The 19,380-nt window shown below is 36.8% G+C and overlaps 1 protein-coding gene and 1 pseudogene across 27 annotated transcripts in view; both read left to right on the plus strand.

Moving 5' to 3' along the window:
* The window catches only part of GRIA4 (glutamate ionotropic receptor AMPA type subunit 4), a 372,097-nt gene that overhangs the window by 214,434 nt on the left and 138,283 nt on the right, over positions 1 to 19,380 (plus strand). Inside the window, exon 1 of one of the 27 annotated variants that reach the window (XM_011542777.4) lies at positions 204 to 18,018. The exons of the other annotated variants lie outside the window; for them this stretch is intronic. The gene's annotated coding sequence lies outside the window, so the exon portion shown is untranslated. Of the gene's footprint in view, positions 1 to 203; positions 18,019 to 19,380 lie in introns of those variants that run through there. 27 annotated transcript variants of the gene reach the window in all.
* Positions 207 to 343, plus strand: RNU4-55P (RNA, U4 small nuclear 55, pseudogene; annotated as a pseudogene).

Consider the following 19,380-nt stretch of genomic DNA (forward strand, 5'->3'; position numbering starts at 1 on the left):
TTATTCCACTATCACAAAACACACCCACCTACACGTGTTGCTTCCCCAATATTCACAATAGCGTTGCATCACAATATTTAGTGTTCTCATTTCTATGCCTATTTAAATATTATTTATAGTTGAGCCATGTAGAACAACGTGATTATATTTGTACCATATGTTGTTCTCCCTGGAGTTAATAATTGCCTCACAGAATGTACATAAATAGCTTTGCGCAGTGGCAGTATCATAGCCAGTGAGGTTTATCTGAAGCACGATTATTACTAATTGAAAACAGAATGTGCATAAATAACAAGTCAGTTATTCCTCCAGGAAGATCTCGCAAGAAATCAAGGCTAGCCTTATCTTTGAAGTATCTCCACAATCATCTGTGGGGTACATAATCTACAGCCGGAGATACTTAAGGCTTTTTATTTTGTGCCTGGTATAAGATGGCAGATGTGTTGCCACGGCCAGTATAATGATGCCTCTAGGGAGCAACGGTAGCCATCCAGGAGGTACAGGCTTGATCAGACTTTGATTCCAGTCAGTCTCATCAGAGAATGGTCTTTTCTCCATTGTTAGTCACTGAGGTCAGTGAACGACTCAGACACTTCAATCAACAGCCACAGTTTGTTTACCCTATTTATGGTCTCAAAGATGGATAACATTACTCTTCCAGTCTGTAGTTTTCCAAGTGTCGAACCAAAAAGCTAGGCCAATGGAAATCACCCAAGAATCAGTAAAATTATAACAAGATTTATCAAGGGGAATATTGGCCAAGACTATGAGAACAGCCTTGAGTTCTGCCCACTGAGCCAAGTGGCCACATTCATTTTTGATTTTGCATGACTGGCACTTCATATGTACAGCTGCAGCAGTCCAGGGGACATCACTGGGTTTCAGCCCAGCTGAACTATTATTGAACCAGGCCTAGGCATTTATGGGAACTGCTAAGCCAGCAATGTGGTTCAGGCAATAGAGTGCCTCCTTTTTACCTAAAGCTCAGATGCTGCTGGGTTCAGGCCAGCTACGTTCTTGAATAAACATTTCTATCCAACAATTGAGGCTTGCTTGTCTTTTCCACCTTTTAACACAATTGAGTCCAAGTTGACTTACCCCAAAATAGAGACATTAGGCCAGCCACAAGGCTTCTATGCCTCAGATATTCAGTTTCAGCAAGAATACAGTAATTTACAAGAGCATGTACCTGGTATCTGCATCTAAGAGACAAAGATCTCCAAACCCCTTAGGGGTGCCTCTGGGTGAAGGCTGTCTCCTTTTGCCAGAGGATCCAATTGGTAAAAATCATCAGTCACAGTCATTTAGCTCAAGGGGTCGTTAGGTTTGTGAGACACTAAAGGTACTAACACCTCTCTATTTGTGGCTCTTTTGAATTGGGAGATCCCTTATGATATTTATGAACATTCCTAGTACAGGCATACAATACCAATTATATATTCTGCGTGGAAGCTGCAAAAATAGTACATTAAATTCTCCCAAAGAAATTGACTCACAGCACCACTTTAGCTTCCCTTTCCATGGTGAATTCCATCCAAACCCCATAGTTGAATTTGGATGTCCCCTCTCCTAAGCAGGACCAGATGGGCTGGTGGGCCCCGTATCCAACAAAGCCTTAAACATTTGATTCCCTTGCCTCCCCAGCATACTCAGACGTGTGTGTATAACCTTCAGTTCCCCTTGAGGACAAGCTGGCCTCAGCCCTGCCCCTAAACATCTTTTTCCTTAAAGCAGCTGAAATTGGGGTAGCATGGGATGGAGGGGATATGGAGTGGGGAGAGAGAGGTTGCAGGGAGAAAGGGGTTCTATGCCATGAAAACAAGGCATTGCTCTCACTTTTCATTTCAATCTATGCAGCCACTAGACTTGTAGACTTCTTTGGGTCAGTTTCTCATTCCCCATGGGACACCTGCATCTGATTACAAGCCAAATCCAGGGCAGTAAGAGCCTGACAACTAGTCAATGCCTCATCTATGGTTTCCAACTGGAGCTTGTCTGTCTTAGGGACATCTATCCAAGAGGGACAAAGCTTCCATACAGCAGCCAATATTCACTGCAAAAATATTCTTAGATATTTTATTGTCTTCTCTGAATGGATCCAGGTTTGTCATGATAGATTGCAGGAGAAGCTGAGCCTTTAGATGGCCTTGCTCTTGACATTCACCTTTAACAAGAATTGCATGCTTCTCTCATTTTCCAAGCAAATCAGACTAAGTTCTTAAAATTGATTTGGTTTCGGAAGTCACATATTTCTCGCCTTTCTCACTCAGCGAGGGTTTGCGATTCTGGAACTGTTTTCTGATAGGGAAAAACCTCTGCCTACACAGAGTGAATCTTCATAATACTTTTAACAGTTGGGTCTACGAACATCCAAATTGTCAAGGAAGTCTCCTGTGCGAAACAGAGTTAACAGCTAGGGCACTATATCGGCAGCTGTCTTTGACCCTATTTCCTATTCTTTGGTCAGCAACCACCACCCCAGTTCCTTCTCATTAATAGGCAATAAAGTGGAGAACCTTGTATAACCTGGTTGACATATAGGTTAGTCAACATCTTTGTTATTGATACCTATGGATTTTTTTCCAAATTCTATTAATCAGCTTGTGAGACCTTCATCCTTCCTCATCCAGAAAGTCCTACCACTCACTGTTCCAGGTGCATTGCCAAATTGTCAAGAACTGTGATGGATCTCAGACTTTACACTACTGACAAGCTAACAAGTTATCCTGGCTCCTGCTCTAAATCATAAAGTGAAAATGATTTCCACGCTTGGGTAATTCCATAGTTTCTACTTCAAATCAGCAGTTTCCAAAAGTATTTATTCAGACTAAGAATCAAGAAAATATTGTCATAGTAAAATAATATTTGTTATATATGATACAATATCAAATCAGTGACATTACTTTAGTGGAGATTTTTAAATTATGTTGCTGATTCATTACTATTAAGCAGAATAGAAAATATTTAGAAGAAAAAAAACAGTAAATTGAAGGAATAACCTGAAGTTGAATTTCTATTTCAAAAAATTTTCTCATGTTAAATAAACTTATCTTAAAATAAATCTTCTTCATTTCAGAGGTTTACTAAAATGTTCTATAATTTTATTTTACAGTCAGAGGATGATAGAAAAGAGAATGGTGTGGATATTCTGGTACCACCGTCATTCATAAAAGGAAAAGATAATGAGATCTAAAAAAAACTGTCAAAATTTTCTTCCATTCATCAGTGCTGCAGAGCTAGAGAAGAAATAGAGCTATGCAGTATAACTGCTGATTATTTTATGATTTCATCACCAAAAGAACAGAAGAGAAATTAATGGGGATACCAAATAGGGAAAATATGCATTTATTAAGTCTCCTTACATTTTATTATACTATATAAATATTTTTAAATCAACAACTTCTGGTTAAGTCAATAGACTATCAACTAAATTTGCTTTTTATGTATTCAAGGATAAAATAATTAAGCAGATTCTGCCAAACACTTGACATGTTTCTGGTATAAAGTAGAATTTTAGTGCACAATATTTAAAAACCATGTGGCAAGCACTTTTTATATGTAATGCTTTGTTAAGATACTATCAGTGGGAACAGGGCAGTTTTTTCAGTAGAATTTTTATTGCCATGCTATTTTTAGTCATTAAAGATAGGTCCACAAGATCTTATTCCAATCTGACAATTGACATCACAATGTGAATTAAATCAGTTTAGTCATTTTTAAATGCAGCTGAAGGGGAACAGCTCTGGATATTTCAAACATATTACTGTTTCTCTTTCACAAAATTTAATTTGTTTCTTAACTGAACTAGAGCCTCTGGGCGTTTGTAGAGGGAAAATAAAACCTCCAAGACTGTTTTATTCTGTATAAAAGCTGCTGTGCTCAGAATGAACCCGGAAAGACATTTAAAGGTGAACAAATGACATAGCCAAGCATGCATTTCTTATGATGCAGTAGAAACCGTAGTTGGCACATTAACCATCACTACCCCTGTATGTGGTATGTATCCAGATAATTTCATATGTTGGAAATGCTACCTAGGCAGCACTGGCGGTTCCTACCTGAGACAGCTAATACAGGGTATTATCTGAGGCTGCCAACATGGATGAAAATTATACTTTGGAAAGTTTGCACTTAGTCACAATGCAAAATGAGGACAGATTTAAACATGACATTTTGCCAGTCAGGAGACTTTCTAGAAGATGAAAGACTGGTGAAATAAATCTCAATGTTTTCATAAAAAAAAAAAAAAGAGTATGAGGCTTTCAGACTTTCACTCTTTGTGAGGCCTGTGATTTGATTTTCCATACATGGTGTAACAAAATTTTCAGGAGGCAGTAATACAATTACTGGGAAATGGGTTAACTGAAATCCTCATAGCCTTATATCTTTGAGGACTACTTCTTATTCCATGGGGTGTCCCAAGATATAACTTTTGACATGAGTTTCCTATGTTCAGCTACTTGAAGCACTCCAAATATTCAGAGACAATTTTCAGCCTTACCAGAAAGAATGGCTTGCTGATATTAAAAATTAAAAACTTGAAAATAGAGAGGAGAGATAGAGTTCCCAGTATTCCCAGACAGACTTGCAACAGGCAAAGGGGTTGTTTATAGAATCATCTAACAATAACAGCTGCTATTTATTGTGTGCTATATCCAGTGATGTATACACACACACACAAATAGACTGATAATCTCTAATTCTCAGCAGTTCCTATTATAACCCTTTTACAGATAGGAATAATGAGGCTCATTAAGACTTAGTAATTTGCAGAAGACCATCTAATCAGTAAGGCAGAGAGCCTTGAACTGAGGATATGTCTAAAATGAGGAACTGAAACATCAAGTCCCTTCTGAGCTGACACCCCAACTTCCTGACAATGCAAGATCACTGACTAGCTCTTTAGCAGGAGTTACATGGAGTCAAGAAAAGAAGTATCTCCTCATGTTTCATCTTCTTACTCAGCCAGTCTGCCACAAATTGAGGAGACTTCAGCGGATGGCTGTGGAATGATTTTAATTACCACCCTTACCTGCCAGTGACAAAAGTGGCAAGGACTGCTAGCTTCCAGGAACAGCCATCGCAATTGTGTTTGTGAAAAGTGAAGGGACTTTGCCAGGCAGTTTAAATTGAAACATGATCAACTACCCACAGAGAGTTAGTCCTAGTGCCCGAGGGACCACTTAAAGTGGCCTAGCTATAAGAAGACATATTCCTCCACACTATGTCGACATATACTAACAGAGGTGCTGGTGTCTGTTTGGGGAGAAGTTTGCAGAAAGGGAGAAATGCATGTAATCCATTGGGACTGGTTCCACTTTCTGTAGATGATAGAAATTGAAGAGAGAGAAGCAGAAAGCTATTTTATCCATATATAAGTTTAAAATTATAGACTCAAGGAAAGACAGGCATAGGGAGGGCTGAGTTGGGGAGGCATGTGAATGAATGTGAATTGGAGAAAGAGAAAATGTGCAGAAGAGAGCTGGAAAAGTATAAAAATAGAAGCCTGCAGAAAATTATTTTGATCACTATAAAACAAAACTAACAGACTGATAGACCTGGCTAAAATCTAAGCAGTTCATAAATCTGATACTGAAAGGACTGAAAGGACATTTTCAAAATACTACTTTGATTCTCTATTGCCTGCTGCATGAAACTCAAACCCCTTAGCTTAACATCAAAGATCTTCCAGTGCTCTTGACAATTACGCCATTCTGTATGCTGAAAATTTCACTAGTAAGTTTTCTAAATGGGCAGTGAGGTGACAGACTTGTGTTTTAGAAATATCACTGGTAGCATTATGGATTATTGATGGAATAAAATAGGAACCATGGACAGGGTGACTATTTGGGAAACTAGTGCAGTGGCTTGGTCTCAAAGATGATGAGGATATGAACTAAAATAGTGAAAGTGGACGTGGGAATTGTGCTGGACTTGGATTTCAAAATGCCAACTAAAATTTATTAAAGTTTATTCAAATACAGAATATTTTGTCTCTAGGCTATTTATGTAGAACCTGGAGGCTCCACTTAAGATGAAGACTTGGGAGGAGAAAGACAGACTTTTCTCTGCTGGCTGGCTCATAGCCCCTATAGAGTTGATGATGGCACTAGCCATGTAGATGATAAGCTAGATCTCAGCAGGTTTTCTGGTCTTATACACAAGTGAGCAGATAGTAGGTGGTCTACTTATGAAATTTCAAAGTGGAAGAAATGTTTGAAGCTTCTCAGTCATGGATTCTATTCCTCACTTGCAGTTTTATCTACTCAATTGGACATAGGCATAACACATAAAAGGATAGGCAGAAGCCTGGCTTAAGAGACCTATTCTCCACCCAGGCAAAGGGCCTGTTTGACTCATCTCTGTGGCCTTCCTTTCAACTTTTCTATTATTTCTCTCACTGCCTTAACAGGTAGTTTTGCTGAATATTGCAGAGAATTATTTTGAAAACCATTTCAACCAAAAGTGTACATGTCACTTTTAGCTAGTGATCTTATCTGTCTTTATCTTAGACTCCTAAGAGAGGTGAATTATACACACACGCACACACACACACACACACATTTTTTATTTATCTATCAACCATGCCAAATGTGGTAACTTTAAAAAGCATTTATTATTTCTAATGACTTTTTGTGATGACTTGACTCAGCTGAGTAGTTCTGCTCCTGTGATGATGGCTGGGTCTATACTCATTTGGGTACTTGACTGGGATAGAATGTCCAAGATGGTTCATTCATATGCCTGGCAAGTTGGTATCAGCTCTCAGCTGGTATCTCCACTGGGTCTATTAACCAATATTCCTTTTTTCTCCTCCTTGTGGCTTTCTTAAAGCATGACATGTACGTTCCAAGAAGGAGTGTTTCAAAGGATAAGTTCCAGTGTGCAAGCACTTAGCAAATCTTCAATTGCATCTCTCTTAGCTCCATGTCATTGGTCAAGACTAGTCACAAGGCCAGTGCAGATTAAGGGGAAAGGAAATAAGCTCCATCTCATGACATCAGGAATAGCATGAGCATACGGGAAAAGGACACTGTTGGGGGCTATCTTTGGAGATGCCTTACTAAATACACACACAACACTCATTTGTATGCAGTGTTAAAATGTGCATTTAAAATGAATACAAAAATCCTTCCTGTGTTACAATATTCATACATAACAATTCATGCTCAGAATATTGTCCCCATACTCATCACGTAAAGGGAGAAACATTATAAAGTGTCGTGGGTATTAAAGCGAGTGCCTCTGATAAATTGTGGATTGTCCACAGACTCTTCTCTATTGTAGGAAATCAAGGAATGAGCAACCATTGAGATAGGGGAGCAAGTGGTGGAGCTTTTGGGAGGGTTGCAATGCTCAGCTCTGCAGGTTATGCTCCGCATAGCATTGGCTTCATTCTAAGACGCCATCGTATGAATGACACCCTTCAGAGTTGTGCAGTGCAAAAACATCCACCATATCCCTGGCTCTGTACTTTCTAAATGGGGACACTGAGTAAATAGCAATGTAAAACCCAGGAGAAGTAAGCGTAGCAGAGAAGACAGTGAATTCCACCTTGGACATGCTGGATTGGAGGGGCCTGTGCAACTTCCAGACTTAGGTATGCGATGGATAGTAGGAAATGTTGATTTGGAGCTCAGTAAGGCCGGGGAATCAATGAAATCATCAAAGTAAAACAGGTTTGGGAAGAAGAGCCTGAAACAATAACCCTGCAATGTATGCAACCGAAAAGTGAGATCCAGTAGAGCATTCTGAGAAAGAGCAGTCAGAAAGCCACAGCAACTTGACATATATCTGCTGGAATGAGACAGAGCAGTAAAAGCCATTTCCTTAAAATGAATGCAAAGATGTCTGCTTAACACAGGGTGATTAACTTTCTATTACTGTCTTTACACAAGCTCTCTGAGGGTCTCCCAGAGACAAGGTGTTAATGAATGGAAAAGCTGCTTTTTCCTTCTCACTTTCTCCCTGCTGTGGAGCATCTAGGATGACTTTAAATAATGATAAGTTTGCCTTGTGTAGTGCTTTACAGTTTACAGAGCATGTTCACTTACTTTATCTAATTTGTTCTCTGCTGCAACCCTCTGAAGTACGCAGGGCTGGTATTAGTATCTTCATTTTACAGATGAGCAAACTGAAGCCGAGAGAAGTGATTATTCCAGAGTGGAACTGTCCTCCGACTCCCAATTCAGTTCTGTTTCCACTGAGCCGCTCAACTATATTAAAGATCAAGTCCTTGCTTTTCATTTGTCCATGGAGATACCTGTGTTATCTAAATTAGGAGTTTTCTGTCTTACAGTTATCAGCCTTAGCAGAGAAGATGTGGCAGAAGCTGGGACTCAAGGGTGGCTGACATTGTCCTTCGGCATTTTTAGTGACTGTATTCCACTCCTTCTCTTTCTGGTGTACGGCTTTCAGAATATAGGTTATTTTTTTCTCAAACAATGAAGAAAGGTAATTGGTGATCTCTGCCTTGAGTAATGCTATTGAACAAATCTTACAAGTATGAAATTTAACATGCTTTTTTATTGGTAGAAACAGCTCTCGTTATCTTTTAAATCCCAAATTTATGTGACTGTAAATCATCTTTTTTTATAATTTATCATTACTGTTTCCTTCAAATTCCCACGTCTTTTGGCAAACCCCTTTTTCAGCACTCCCTTATCAGAATTTTATTCTGAGAGCTTCCACTTCTTCACGCTGTATTTCTATGCAGTTTTCCTTTCTTGTCACGCATACAACAGATCTTTACTGGATGCTTATTAGGTGTGAGAAACCATATAAGTTTCTTGGGTTACGATAGGGTTATTATCCAAAAATAACCAGTGCTAATATTTGATGAACATTATTTCACCTGTCTCCCTCCATCTCTCTCATACGTACACATGTATATATAAACATATTCTTATGCTATATCTCAGTCCTTCCATTTCTTTGTAACATCTAAATTATTCAACATAATTATTAACCTGATAAACCAATCTGTACAAATATAATGGAAGATCTATAGATGATATAGATATAGATACAGACAGATACAGATGGTAGGATGGAAATAATTTTGCAAAAGTGAGTTCAAAAAATAATGCTATTTTTATATATAAAATAAATAAGTATTCTACCTGAATTTATTAGAAGTAAAGGAAACTGGAACAAAGGGTTAAGCAACTGATGAACTTCAAATAAATTCCAACAAAATATATTTCCCACAAGAGTCCTCTAATATTAAGGAAAGAAAACTGTAAATAATACTAAGAGGCCAGAGTCATTATAGTTGCTTTTGTTTTAGTCTTAACTACATGTTTCTATTTTTTAAAGTGCAGATTGGCTATGTGCTGTCAAAAGTGTGAAATAGAGAGCCCTTACATGTTCTCCTACCTATCCACAACCATATTCCAGTCCTGTTACCTTATTATTTCTACATGTTCAATATATGTTATATTCATATTGTTTTTCTCTAGTCATAGTTTCTGGCTGAGTCTCAACTGTTTATTTTAATGAAAGTAATGTTCACCTACAATCATTTTACTATGCCTTTCCATTCCAGAATATTTTATTTTAATTCATTTACTGATTATTTGGATTATGTCAAGACAGTCAATGAAAGGATAGTTGTTGTAAAATGTGTTAATTGCCATGACTTTAGAAACACACAAAATTATGTGGTGCCAGGGACATCTAAGAATAAGTTGTAATTAGATAAAATGAGAGAATTGACAGAGGAGCTGACACAGTTCCAGAAGTTGTTCTCTTTATGTCTCCACACTAAAATACATAGAGATACATAAAGAAGATATCCCTACTCCATATCTCAATCCTTTCATCTCTTTTTAATGTCAAAATTACTCAAGATAATGAGTATTAATATGGTAAATTAACCTGTGCAAGTATAATAGAAACTCAATGAAAAGCATTTAAGGACATATAGGACTTGGATCCCAAATTATTGCATGCCACTCATACATCTGTCCCCATGCATTACAAAGCTAAATTCCATGCTAAAATCAGCCCACACATTACATGAGTACAGCCTCACTAAACAGAGTGTCACTTGGCAGCATGCTGCTACATTTTGACTCCACTAATTAAGTGTGTTTTTGGAGAACCATGCTAGCATTCTCTGTGGGAAGCATACTGGCATTTTAAGGATAAGAGGACAGAAAAGGTCTTAAGTGAATCAAAGAAGTTATGGAAAATGTGGCTTTCACCAGAAATATGCAATGAAACATAGAGTTATTTAAAGAAGGTTTCAGATGTAAGTATTACTGTCCTGCTACAAAAAGACTTTTTTTTTTTTTTTTTTGCTACCATGCTGTGTGGCATGAGCCAATAAGTTCAGTTCCCTGTGGGTTCGAGCAGACATCTAGGCCTAGAGCATGCCTGCAGCAAGTTGATGTACTAACAAAGAGAAAACCTATTTAGGCTGACTCTTTAAATGTCAGCCTGCTGCAAATAGTCTTCAATAAATTTTAACATCACCCTAGTAAATATAGTTCATTAGTATAGTGTATTTGATTCAAGAGTTTCAATCAATATATGTATAAGATCAGGGAATAAGTAAGATTTTTGATTTCTTATATTTTGTTATAAATACAAAGTAAGCCCTACTTTTGAGAAATGTGAATATTAAGTTGAAATTCCCAAAGAGCTGAAATATGTTATTCTTTATTCTGTGTTTCTTGTTACTTATTCAATAATTTATTTCAATATTTTATTTAATGTTACTATTAAATTTTATACTTAATTATTTAAAAATTGAAACAGTAGAAAGAAAAAATTAATTATATTGCCAACTTGTAAGTAGAGATTTTCTTCATCAGTTAAAATATTCTATGATCAGTTGCACAAAATTTGACTTATACGTGAGTGGTACAACCATTGAATGGCATAGTCTTTACTAATACATTTATATGATATTATAAATTATACAAAGGTCGAAATCTGTGAAAAGACAGCTAGATGTGATATGATTTATATTTAAACAATACCATACCATGGTTTTCTTTCTTAGCCTATATTATAACAAATAACAAATTAAGCTGTGAATGCAACAGTAGGCATAATCAAATGGTATTGAAATACAGCCATGTACACCTAAGATCTGCAAAGCCATGGATTTTGTGTGTGTGTGTGTTTTCTTTCTTTTTCTTTTTATCATTTAAAGCCATGGATTTTTATTAAATGATTATCTCACTAAAATTTGTGATTCATTAGCAATTTGGCTAGGAGGATTCGCAGGTGATACTTATTAAACTACATTATTTTTCATGGCTTTTAATCAACATGAAAAAGAGTGAAAGTCTTTTGAAAAAGCAGAGAAACCTCTGGTGATAGTTAAGAGAGTGATGTCATTAAAATGGAGAGCTAGAAATAAAGTGGGTCACAAGAAAATGAATCAACTAGCAGATATATACTAGTCATTTGAGAAATCTGGCTTAAAAAAGGAGAAAATAAGACAATAATTAATTGGATAAGAAAAAGAAAGAAAAAAAGTTTATCATGATGAAGGGTCTTACAATGTTTGAGGATAAAAGCCAAAAGCCAATAAAAGAAGATTTGGAACATCATGGAGAAGGAGGAGATAAAAGTAATAACAAAAATATATTGTGAATTAATAAAATTTCAGTTCAGTAATTGCTTCCTTAGCTTTTCTCCAGTAAAGAGTTAAGGCCCCTAAGCTGGTAGAAATAGGCTCTTAGAAAAAGGAAAGAAAATAGTCATAGAAGCATGGGGATCTTCAATTATCTTGTATTCCTTTCTCCCTTCTCCCATCAGACCCCAATCATAGAACAGGAAGATAAAAAACAAGAAAGTACTGGGTGCTGACTTGCTCTATTTGACTCACTTATCTTGCTCAGGGGGCAAAAGGAGGGAAATAATATTGGCACCACGTAATTTAATTTCAATGTGAAGGCTATCCATAGAGAAGCTTTCATTTTGAGGTGGCTTACTTGAAGGTTTTAGCCATTCCACTGAGAATAATCATGAAGCGATACAGTAATATGAGGAGCATAGCCTACCTGATAGGTGGAGCTCTAATCCTCACCATCATGCCATCTGCCCTCTGTATATTCTTTTTGTCCCTGCCTGGACAGGCATTCTTCCTTCTCTTATGTACACTTTCCTCCCCTTAGGCTTCAACCTCAGCACACTTGTAGATAATACTATCTGTACCATCATATTAAGTGAATTCTCAAACTTTATTTTCCACACTAATCACATGCAGAGCTTGTAAGTCCCACAACCAAAGTTTCTGATTCAATAAATCTGGTATAGAGCCCAGAACTGTTCTTTTTAACAAGCACACTAGGTGATTCTGATGTGGATGATTTAAAAGCCACACTTTGAGAAATAGTCTTAAATGATATTGTGCAGGGATGAATTTACTATATGTGTGTATATTTCTTCTAATACTGATGGCTTTGATTTTATATTTTATGTGTATGATAACCCAATCAACATTTTTATAGTAGTCTTGACCTAGCAGCATGTATTAGTCCATTCTCACACTGCTATAAAGAAATACCCAAGACTGAGTAATTTATAAAGGAAGAGGTTTGATTGACTCACAGCTCTGCATGGCTGGGGAGGCCTCAGGAAACTTACAATCATGGCAGAAGGGGAAGAGGCACATCTTACATAATGGCGGGCAAGAGAGAGGAGCATTCGTGAAGGAGGAACTGTCAAACACTTATAAAACCATCAGATCTCATTAGAACTTACTCACTATGACAAGAACAGCATGAGGGAAACCACCCCCATGATCCAATCACTTCCCACCTGGTCCCTCCTTCGACAAGTGGAGATTATGGGGATTACAATTCGAGATGAGATTTGGGTGAGGACACAGCCAAACCATATCACAGTAGGATGGTTCAAGAGTTAAAATTAGTGCTTCCTCATTAGTGAGAATGTACCCACTATATCTTAGAACCACTATGAGTCTTTACATGCTGGATCCAAGACCACAGCTGGAGTCAATGACATTGGAAAAAAAGGAAGCATACCTGGTCCCTTCATTACTGAAGAAAGAATAAGGAGCACAGTGTAGATTTAAGTGTTCCATGGTGCTGCAGATAAAGGAGGTAGATCTTTCCAGATGTTCTTCATTTTCTCAGTGAAGTGGAACAATAAGGCCAACTGCTGAAGGTGAGATTAGTACAGGAAGGGGGAGAGTAGATTTGGAAATCAGAAGGCAAAGGAGAAACACCGTGTGGAACTCAATGAGGATTTAATGAGGTTATTTCATACTACTATAAAGTAACTTCTCTCAGTGTGAAGAATTTTTTAAATCAAGAATTCCTGAATTTTCCATGATTTTAAAAATTCTATTATTATATTTATTGTTTTTATCAATTAAGACAAAAATATTGAAAATATGAGTATTGGCATGTTACAGTTACCAAATAAGAGCTATTATTGTGTCTTGTAGTGCTAGGTGAGGAAACATGACAAAATAAGGAATTCTATTTCCATTACACTTATCTTTCCAATACACTCCTAATGGGACGAAAGAGATAACACCCACTCTGCTCCTCTTATTTGAAGACACTTTATTTAGATTGGTTTCAAAACTATTGACCTATTTTTGGCAATTTTTAGATTTATACTAAGGTTTTGATCATTAAAATAAAACTGATAAAAAGCTGGTTACAATGCTCAATAAAAGAAGATAAAGGTAAAAAAAGAATTATTTAACACTAGCATTATTTTCTAATAAAGATAAAGTCACCTAATCAAATAACTGTGCTTCTCTTTGTGTGAGTTAAAATAATGTTTTGTTTTAAATTAAAACCTGGAAATTCCATGTCTGCAAATTAAGCGGTAACATCAGTCTTTTTCTACACAATGATGTAGCATGTGTGTTTTATTTCATTCTGTATAGAGTAATGGAGTTTCTTCTGCTGTGGGGCTTGCAGAACCAGCCCACTACTTTATAGTTACATACATTATACTCTCATGGCTCCCAGGTAAATGCCTTACTGCAGAGTTCTGCCTCTGATCCTGCAGAATGATATAAGGAAATTGTATCAAATTATATGTTTTAAAACAATTTGGCCAACATTTGAAAAGTTATTCCAGATAATATTACTATATTTGAAATTGCTCTTATTTCCTTTGGTTAGTAGGTTAAAATCCCTGAGGACTTTTATTTATTTTTTAAGCAACAAATCTTTCTTTCCATAAATTGAACTAAAATGTTCTGCCATTATAAACTCTTGGACACAAGCTTTTTCTCATAGACGCTATTAAAATCTTCAATAACCAATTTACTACCAACAAAATTGGTTAGATTGGCTACACAGATGCAGAAGAGCTGACACCCATTTGACTCTTAAAGGAGTCTCTAATCTGCCTGAGGCAGGATTGCTACCTCGCAAGTCAACTCAGGGAACTACTGGACTGAAGAAGATGCTGCCTCTCTCTTGGAGGCAGTATTAGTCACAGCATAGTGACTAATGACACCCTGAAACCTGACCACTCCGTGAAACTGACATGCAAGCTGCTGCTAACACAGCTTACTTTTTTGAGAATTTCTCTGGATCTTGCCACCCACTCTATTTCTTCAACTTTCTCAGTGTCTTCATTGCCCTCCACCTGTTTAGATGCACAGGGCCTTCATCCACCCCCATCCATGCATGCACCGGCCCCCTCTAGCTTTCCCTCTACTGCCAAGGCTGAGTTCCCTTCCTGTCTGACATTATGAAGACATACATTATATGACAGTTTCTACTAACTCTGGAAAATGAGACAGGATATTGTTGCTGAGCACTCAAATTCCATGTACTACTTTCCACTTTGTATGGAAGATGTTTATGTACCTGTCATCTTTGTGGCTATTGAGTAGGATACCTGCCTCCTTTGATGTACTGTGAGCTGTTCATAGGCAGGGAACATATTTACTCTTCTTTGCATGTCTAAATCCCTGATATGCCTTCCATTATGTTTACTGAAATAATGAGCACCAAGGAAATACTATTCTCTCAATTCTCATTTCTATTCTGACAGTGACTTCCTTTTTTTTTTTTTTTACCTTTTTAGATCATGTAATCGCTATCTCATTTTATTTTGCTATAAAATGGAAAAACGTTACTCTTCCTTACAAAACACATATTTCTGTGTGTTTTATCAAAATCTTTTATAAGCACAACCAATAATTTCTGAGAATTAATGGATTAATGGTTAAAAATAAGAACCCCAGCCCAAGAGGTAGAGCTTGCAGTGAGCCGAGATTGCGCCACCGCACCCCAGCCTGGGCAACAGAGCAAGACTCCGTCTCAAAAAAATAAAAAATAAAAAAAAAGAACCCCAAATTACACACCTAATTCTAGTTCTAGTTCATTAATAGTGGCTGATACTTAATTCTTATAATCAGCTTCTCTAGTTAATTCTCTAATTAATTATAATAGCTTTGTTATTATATTATAAAGAAATGTTTCCAAAGTATATTGTTAACCATAATAAACTTTTTCTATTATTCTATTAATTTTGTTCTTTTACAAAATTTTATTTATAGGTAAAGGAAAAGTAGGCTTAAGCCTACCTTATCTAAACTTTCTGCAAATGCTGAACTGGCTAAGTCTGCAACAACTAGATCCTTCTAGATTGTTTATGTTACTATTACCAAAGTGAAGTTATATTGTCTTATAAGTTTATACAAATCAAAATTATTTTAAAACAATTTGACTAATATTTGACAAGTTATAACAGATAATATTACTATATTTCAAATGATTCTGATTTCCTTTGACTACTAGGTTAAAATCCATGAGGACTTTTACTCATTTTTTTAGGCCATACATTTTTCTTCCTATAAAGTGAACCAAATTTTTGGTCATTATAAACCACTGGACACTTGGACACAAGGATTTTCTCACTGATGCTATATAAAATCTTCAATAACCAATTTCTACCCACAATAAAGCAGGTAATATTGTCACCAAAACATTTATTCTTCTGTACTGGATACATCTACATGATTTTCATTTAGAATTCTGAAACCGTCCCTCAAATTTGACAGCATAACTCATGGGAACTTTATAATATGGCAGGGGAACACGAACTGACTTATTTTAACAGAAATGTCCAAATATATCTGCAGTATGTGTGTGAGGCATTTTAGAAGGCACCCTGTTGTGCTGTATAATATTGGTGGCACAGTGCCATGCTGTCATAGACTTAAAAGGTTTGAGAAATGCGGTTTCTATACGATATTATAAGACTCTCCAGAATTGCTTCAGAGGCTCTCAAACAATTTCAGAATTCCCTCTTTAACTTTTATTAAACTTAAAATAGTACAAACATCTCACTGACTCAAAATATGGTGAAAAATTGTGCATTTCTTAGAAAGCTACAGTCTCCTAAAAAAGTGGAATCTGAACTGCTTCTCCATTTTAGTGTTTATATGGTTTCAGAAATTGTCTCTTTTCATCTATTATTAACCAAAAGGTTTTGACCTTTCTTTACTTTTGTAACTTTTTCATAATCAACTGCCCTAAATCCTCAAGAACTTTGCTCTTACCTTCCATGACTTAGGGAAAGCTCTAACAACAAACAAACATATTAGCCTGTATAGAAATGGCTCCTTATTTATTTAAAAGCCCTACAAATTTGAATTTTCTTTCAGTCTTCTTTAAGCATTTGGTTTGCTCCATGGCAAAATTCAGATGATTAGCACTTCTCTATATATCTTAATGGCTTCTCTTTCACCCTTGTTTCTCTCTGATATGTTTCATCACTGAAAAAGTCACATAAGTCAACATTCAAACACCTGAACCGAAGATAACGTACAGAGTGGGTTCTTCAAAAAAAAAAAAATTCTTAAATCTTTAAAAAATTATTTTCACTTTTGTTTCTACATCTAATATCCTCATCACTTTTTCTTAAATGTTTAGTTTTGATATTTGATGACAAAATTAAGACACAAGCGCTGTTCTTTGTGTGACCTTGTGGGCAGAAGGGGCCAGTTCAGCCTGTGGATGATTGGCACTCCTTCACAGCAGGACTGTGGGCCTGGAGTCCAATGCCCAGCTTTCTTACTGATCCACCTCCCAGAATTGGCAGGGGAGAAAATCAGGATAGTGTGGAGCGTTTTCTGGGAAGCTGGGTTTTTTTTTCATTTGAAAAAGAGTTTTTTATTCTAAAATTATGTCTTTCCTACTTTTCTAGAATTCAAGTGTTTCCTTCATAAATTATGCAGATTGAGATGGTGGTTATAGGTTTTGTACATTTTCTTGTCATCCTGACTTGTTAAAATAAAGACTTGGCAAGTCCAGATGGGTGCCTCCATTTTTGTTGTTGCTGTTGATCCAAAGACCGTGGAGCACCTGAGTCCAAAATCACACTGAGATCTCACTCCAGTTCGGATATGCAGTCTTCCGATTTAAACAGGTTGTCTTATTCTCCCCATAAGAAGCTAGAGATATCATAAAAGAGATTCTTACTTCTGTGCTGTGAATGTCACAGCTAATAGGAACACAAACAACTGTCTTTCTCTCATTGAATTAATATTTACTGAGTACCTACTATGTACTAAGCATTGGGGGTATAAGTGGGGTGTTTTTTAATTTTTTAAATTTACTTTTTCACATCAAGTCCCAGGGAAGAGCTCATTGAGAAGTTACCATCTGAGTGCAACATGAAAGGGGTGAGGGGAACACCTGGTTTTCTGGGGAAAAGCATTCAAGATAGAGGAAAGAGCATGTGCAATGCCCTAAGGAGAGAATATACCTTCTCTGACTGATGAATGGCAATGAAACCAGTTTGACCAGAATAGAGTGAGCAAGGTGCCAAGGACAGGCGAAGGGTGTCCAAGAAGTAGAGAGAGAATGACATTGTAAGGACTCTTTCCTTTGCCCTGAGGGACATGGAAAGCTATTGGAGGATTTTGAGTAGAGGTGTACCAGGATATGACTTTAAATTAAACACGATTAGTGTGACTGCTATGATAAGGACAGGCTGAGAGGGATCTCGGGCCAAAACAAGAAGAGACCTTAAGAAACTACTGCAGTAACTGAGGTAAGAGATGATGGGACTTGTACTAGGACAACAGCAGCGAAGCTATTGAGAAGTTTCCATGTATATGTTGAAGGTAGAACCAAAGGGGTTTACTGACAAGATTAAATGGTACTTTCCTGGCACACGTTGATACTGAACCACTTTTCACATTGCTCAACCACCTAATACTTTGACTGTCAATTTGTTTAAGTAGATCACGAGATAATCATATCATGAGTCTCAGCCCACACACTCTTAATCTTTTTAAAAGGTGTGGCCGCCATTGATTTTAAAGGAGAAATGAAAGAGTGAAAGCAATACGATACAATAAAGATATCTCTTTCCCTGAAACACACAGGAAAGTGAAGTTTCAGGTCTGCTGAGGCTGAGATCAACCAATTGGTGAAGGACTCAAGAATTCTTACTGCATATCTGTTCCTGGAAGAATATGATGCTAAGAGAAAAAGAACCAAATTTTTGAATGACCTGTAAGTGCCCTGTTAAAGGATTCATTTTAATAGAAACTCAGAAACTTATTTTGCTCTTTTTTTCCTTTGCTCTATTCTGCAAATGGCTCAAATCCTCTTGAAGACTGTTGACTTCCTCTAACTTTTCTCTGTCCTGAATTCCCCAAGGACAAGGACAATGTCCTCAGAGCCGTGAAAGCAGTTTTGTTTTTGGGGTTTTTCATTTGTTTGTTTTTAAGATCCTCGCTCTTCCAAGCGCTCTGCCTTGGGCAAACCACTCTGGCTCATCCTTTGTGTTCACATCAGGAGTTTGATTAAATTGTCACTATGATTCCTCCCAGCTGAAAAATGCTTTGATTCAACATGGATTAGAATTGGCAGTGGAATTTGCTTGCCTAATAGGGTCACTTGATCTTCAAATCTACACTTTATGTTGTTTTATAAAGGATACTACTGGGTTTATTTAAAGTTTTAAATTGGTTTGAAACATATAATAGGCAATAAATAATAACATTCAATATATAACTTATTAGAGCCTATCTTTGAATACTCTCATATACCTAAAAATTAATTTGGCTCTTCAGGAATAAAATCCAATTGATACATTCTGTCAAACCAACTGTATCACCTGTTTCAGTCTTCCAAAACCAGGAAAGCCTTGATTGCTCTCCACGGGAATTTCAGTGCAATTCCAATAATCTTGGATTCAACATCTCACAAACACTGGAGATCTAGAATCCTTTGCTCTCAAACACTTGATTCCAGTTCCTGGCCCTCAGTTCTAGCTATCTCAGAGAATTTCTAGTAGTTTCATAGGTTTCTGAAATAAAATGGAAGTGCTGGGACGATCGTATGTGACTCCTCAGAAGCATAGATATTGACCTTTGGCCAGATAAGGATGAGAAAAATGATACAA

This window comes from Homo sapiens, chromosome 11, assembly GCF_000001405.40.
Source record: "Homo sapiens chromosome 11, GRCh38.p14 Primary Assembly".
NCBI classification, from domain to species: domain Eukaryota; kingdom Metazoa; phylum Chordata; class Mammalia; order Primates; family Hominidae; genus Homo; species Homo sapiens.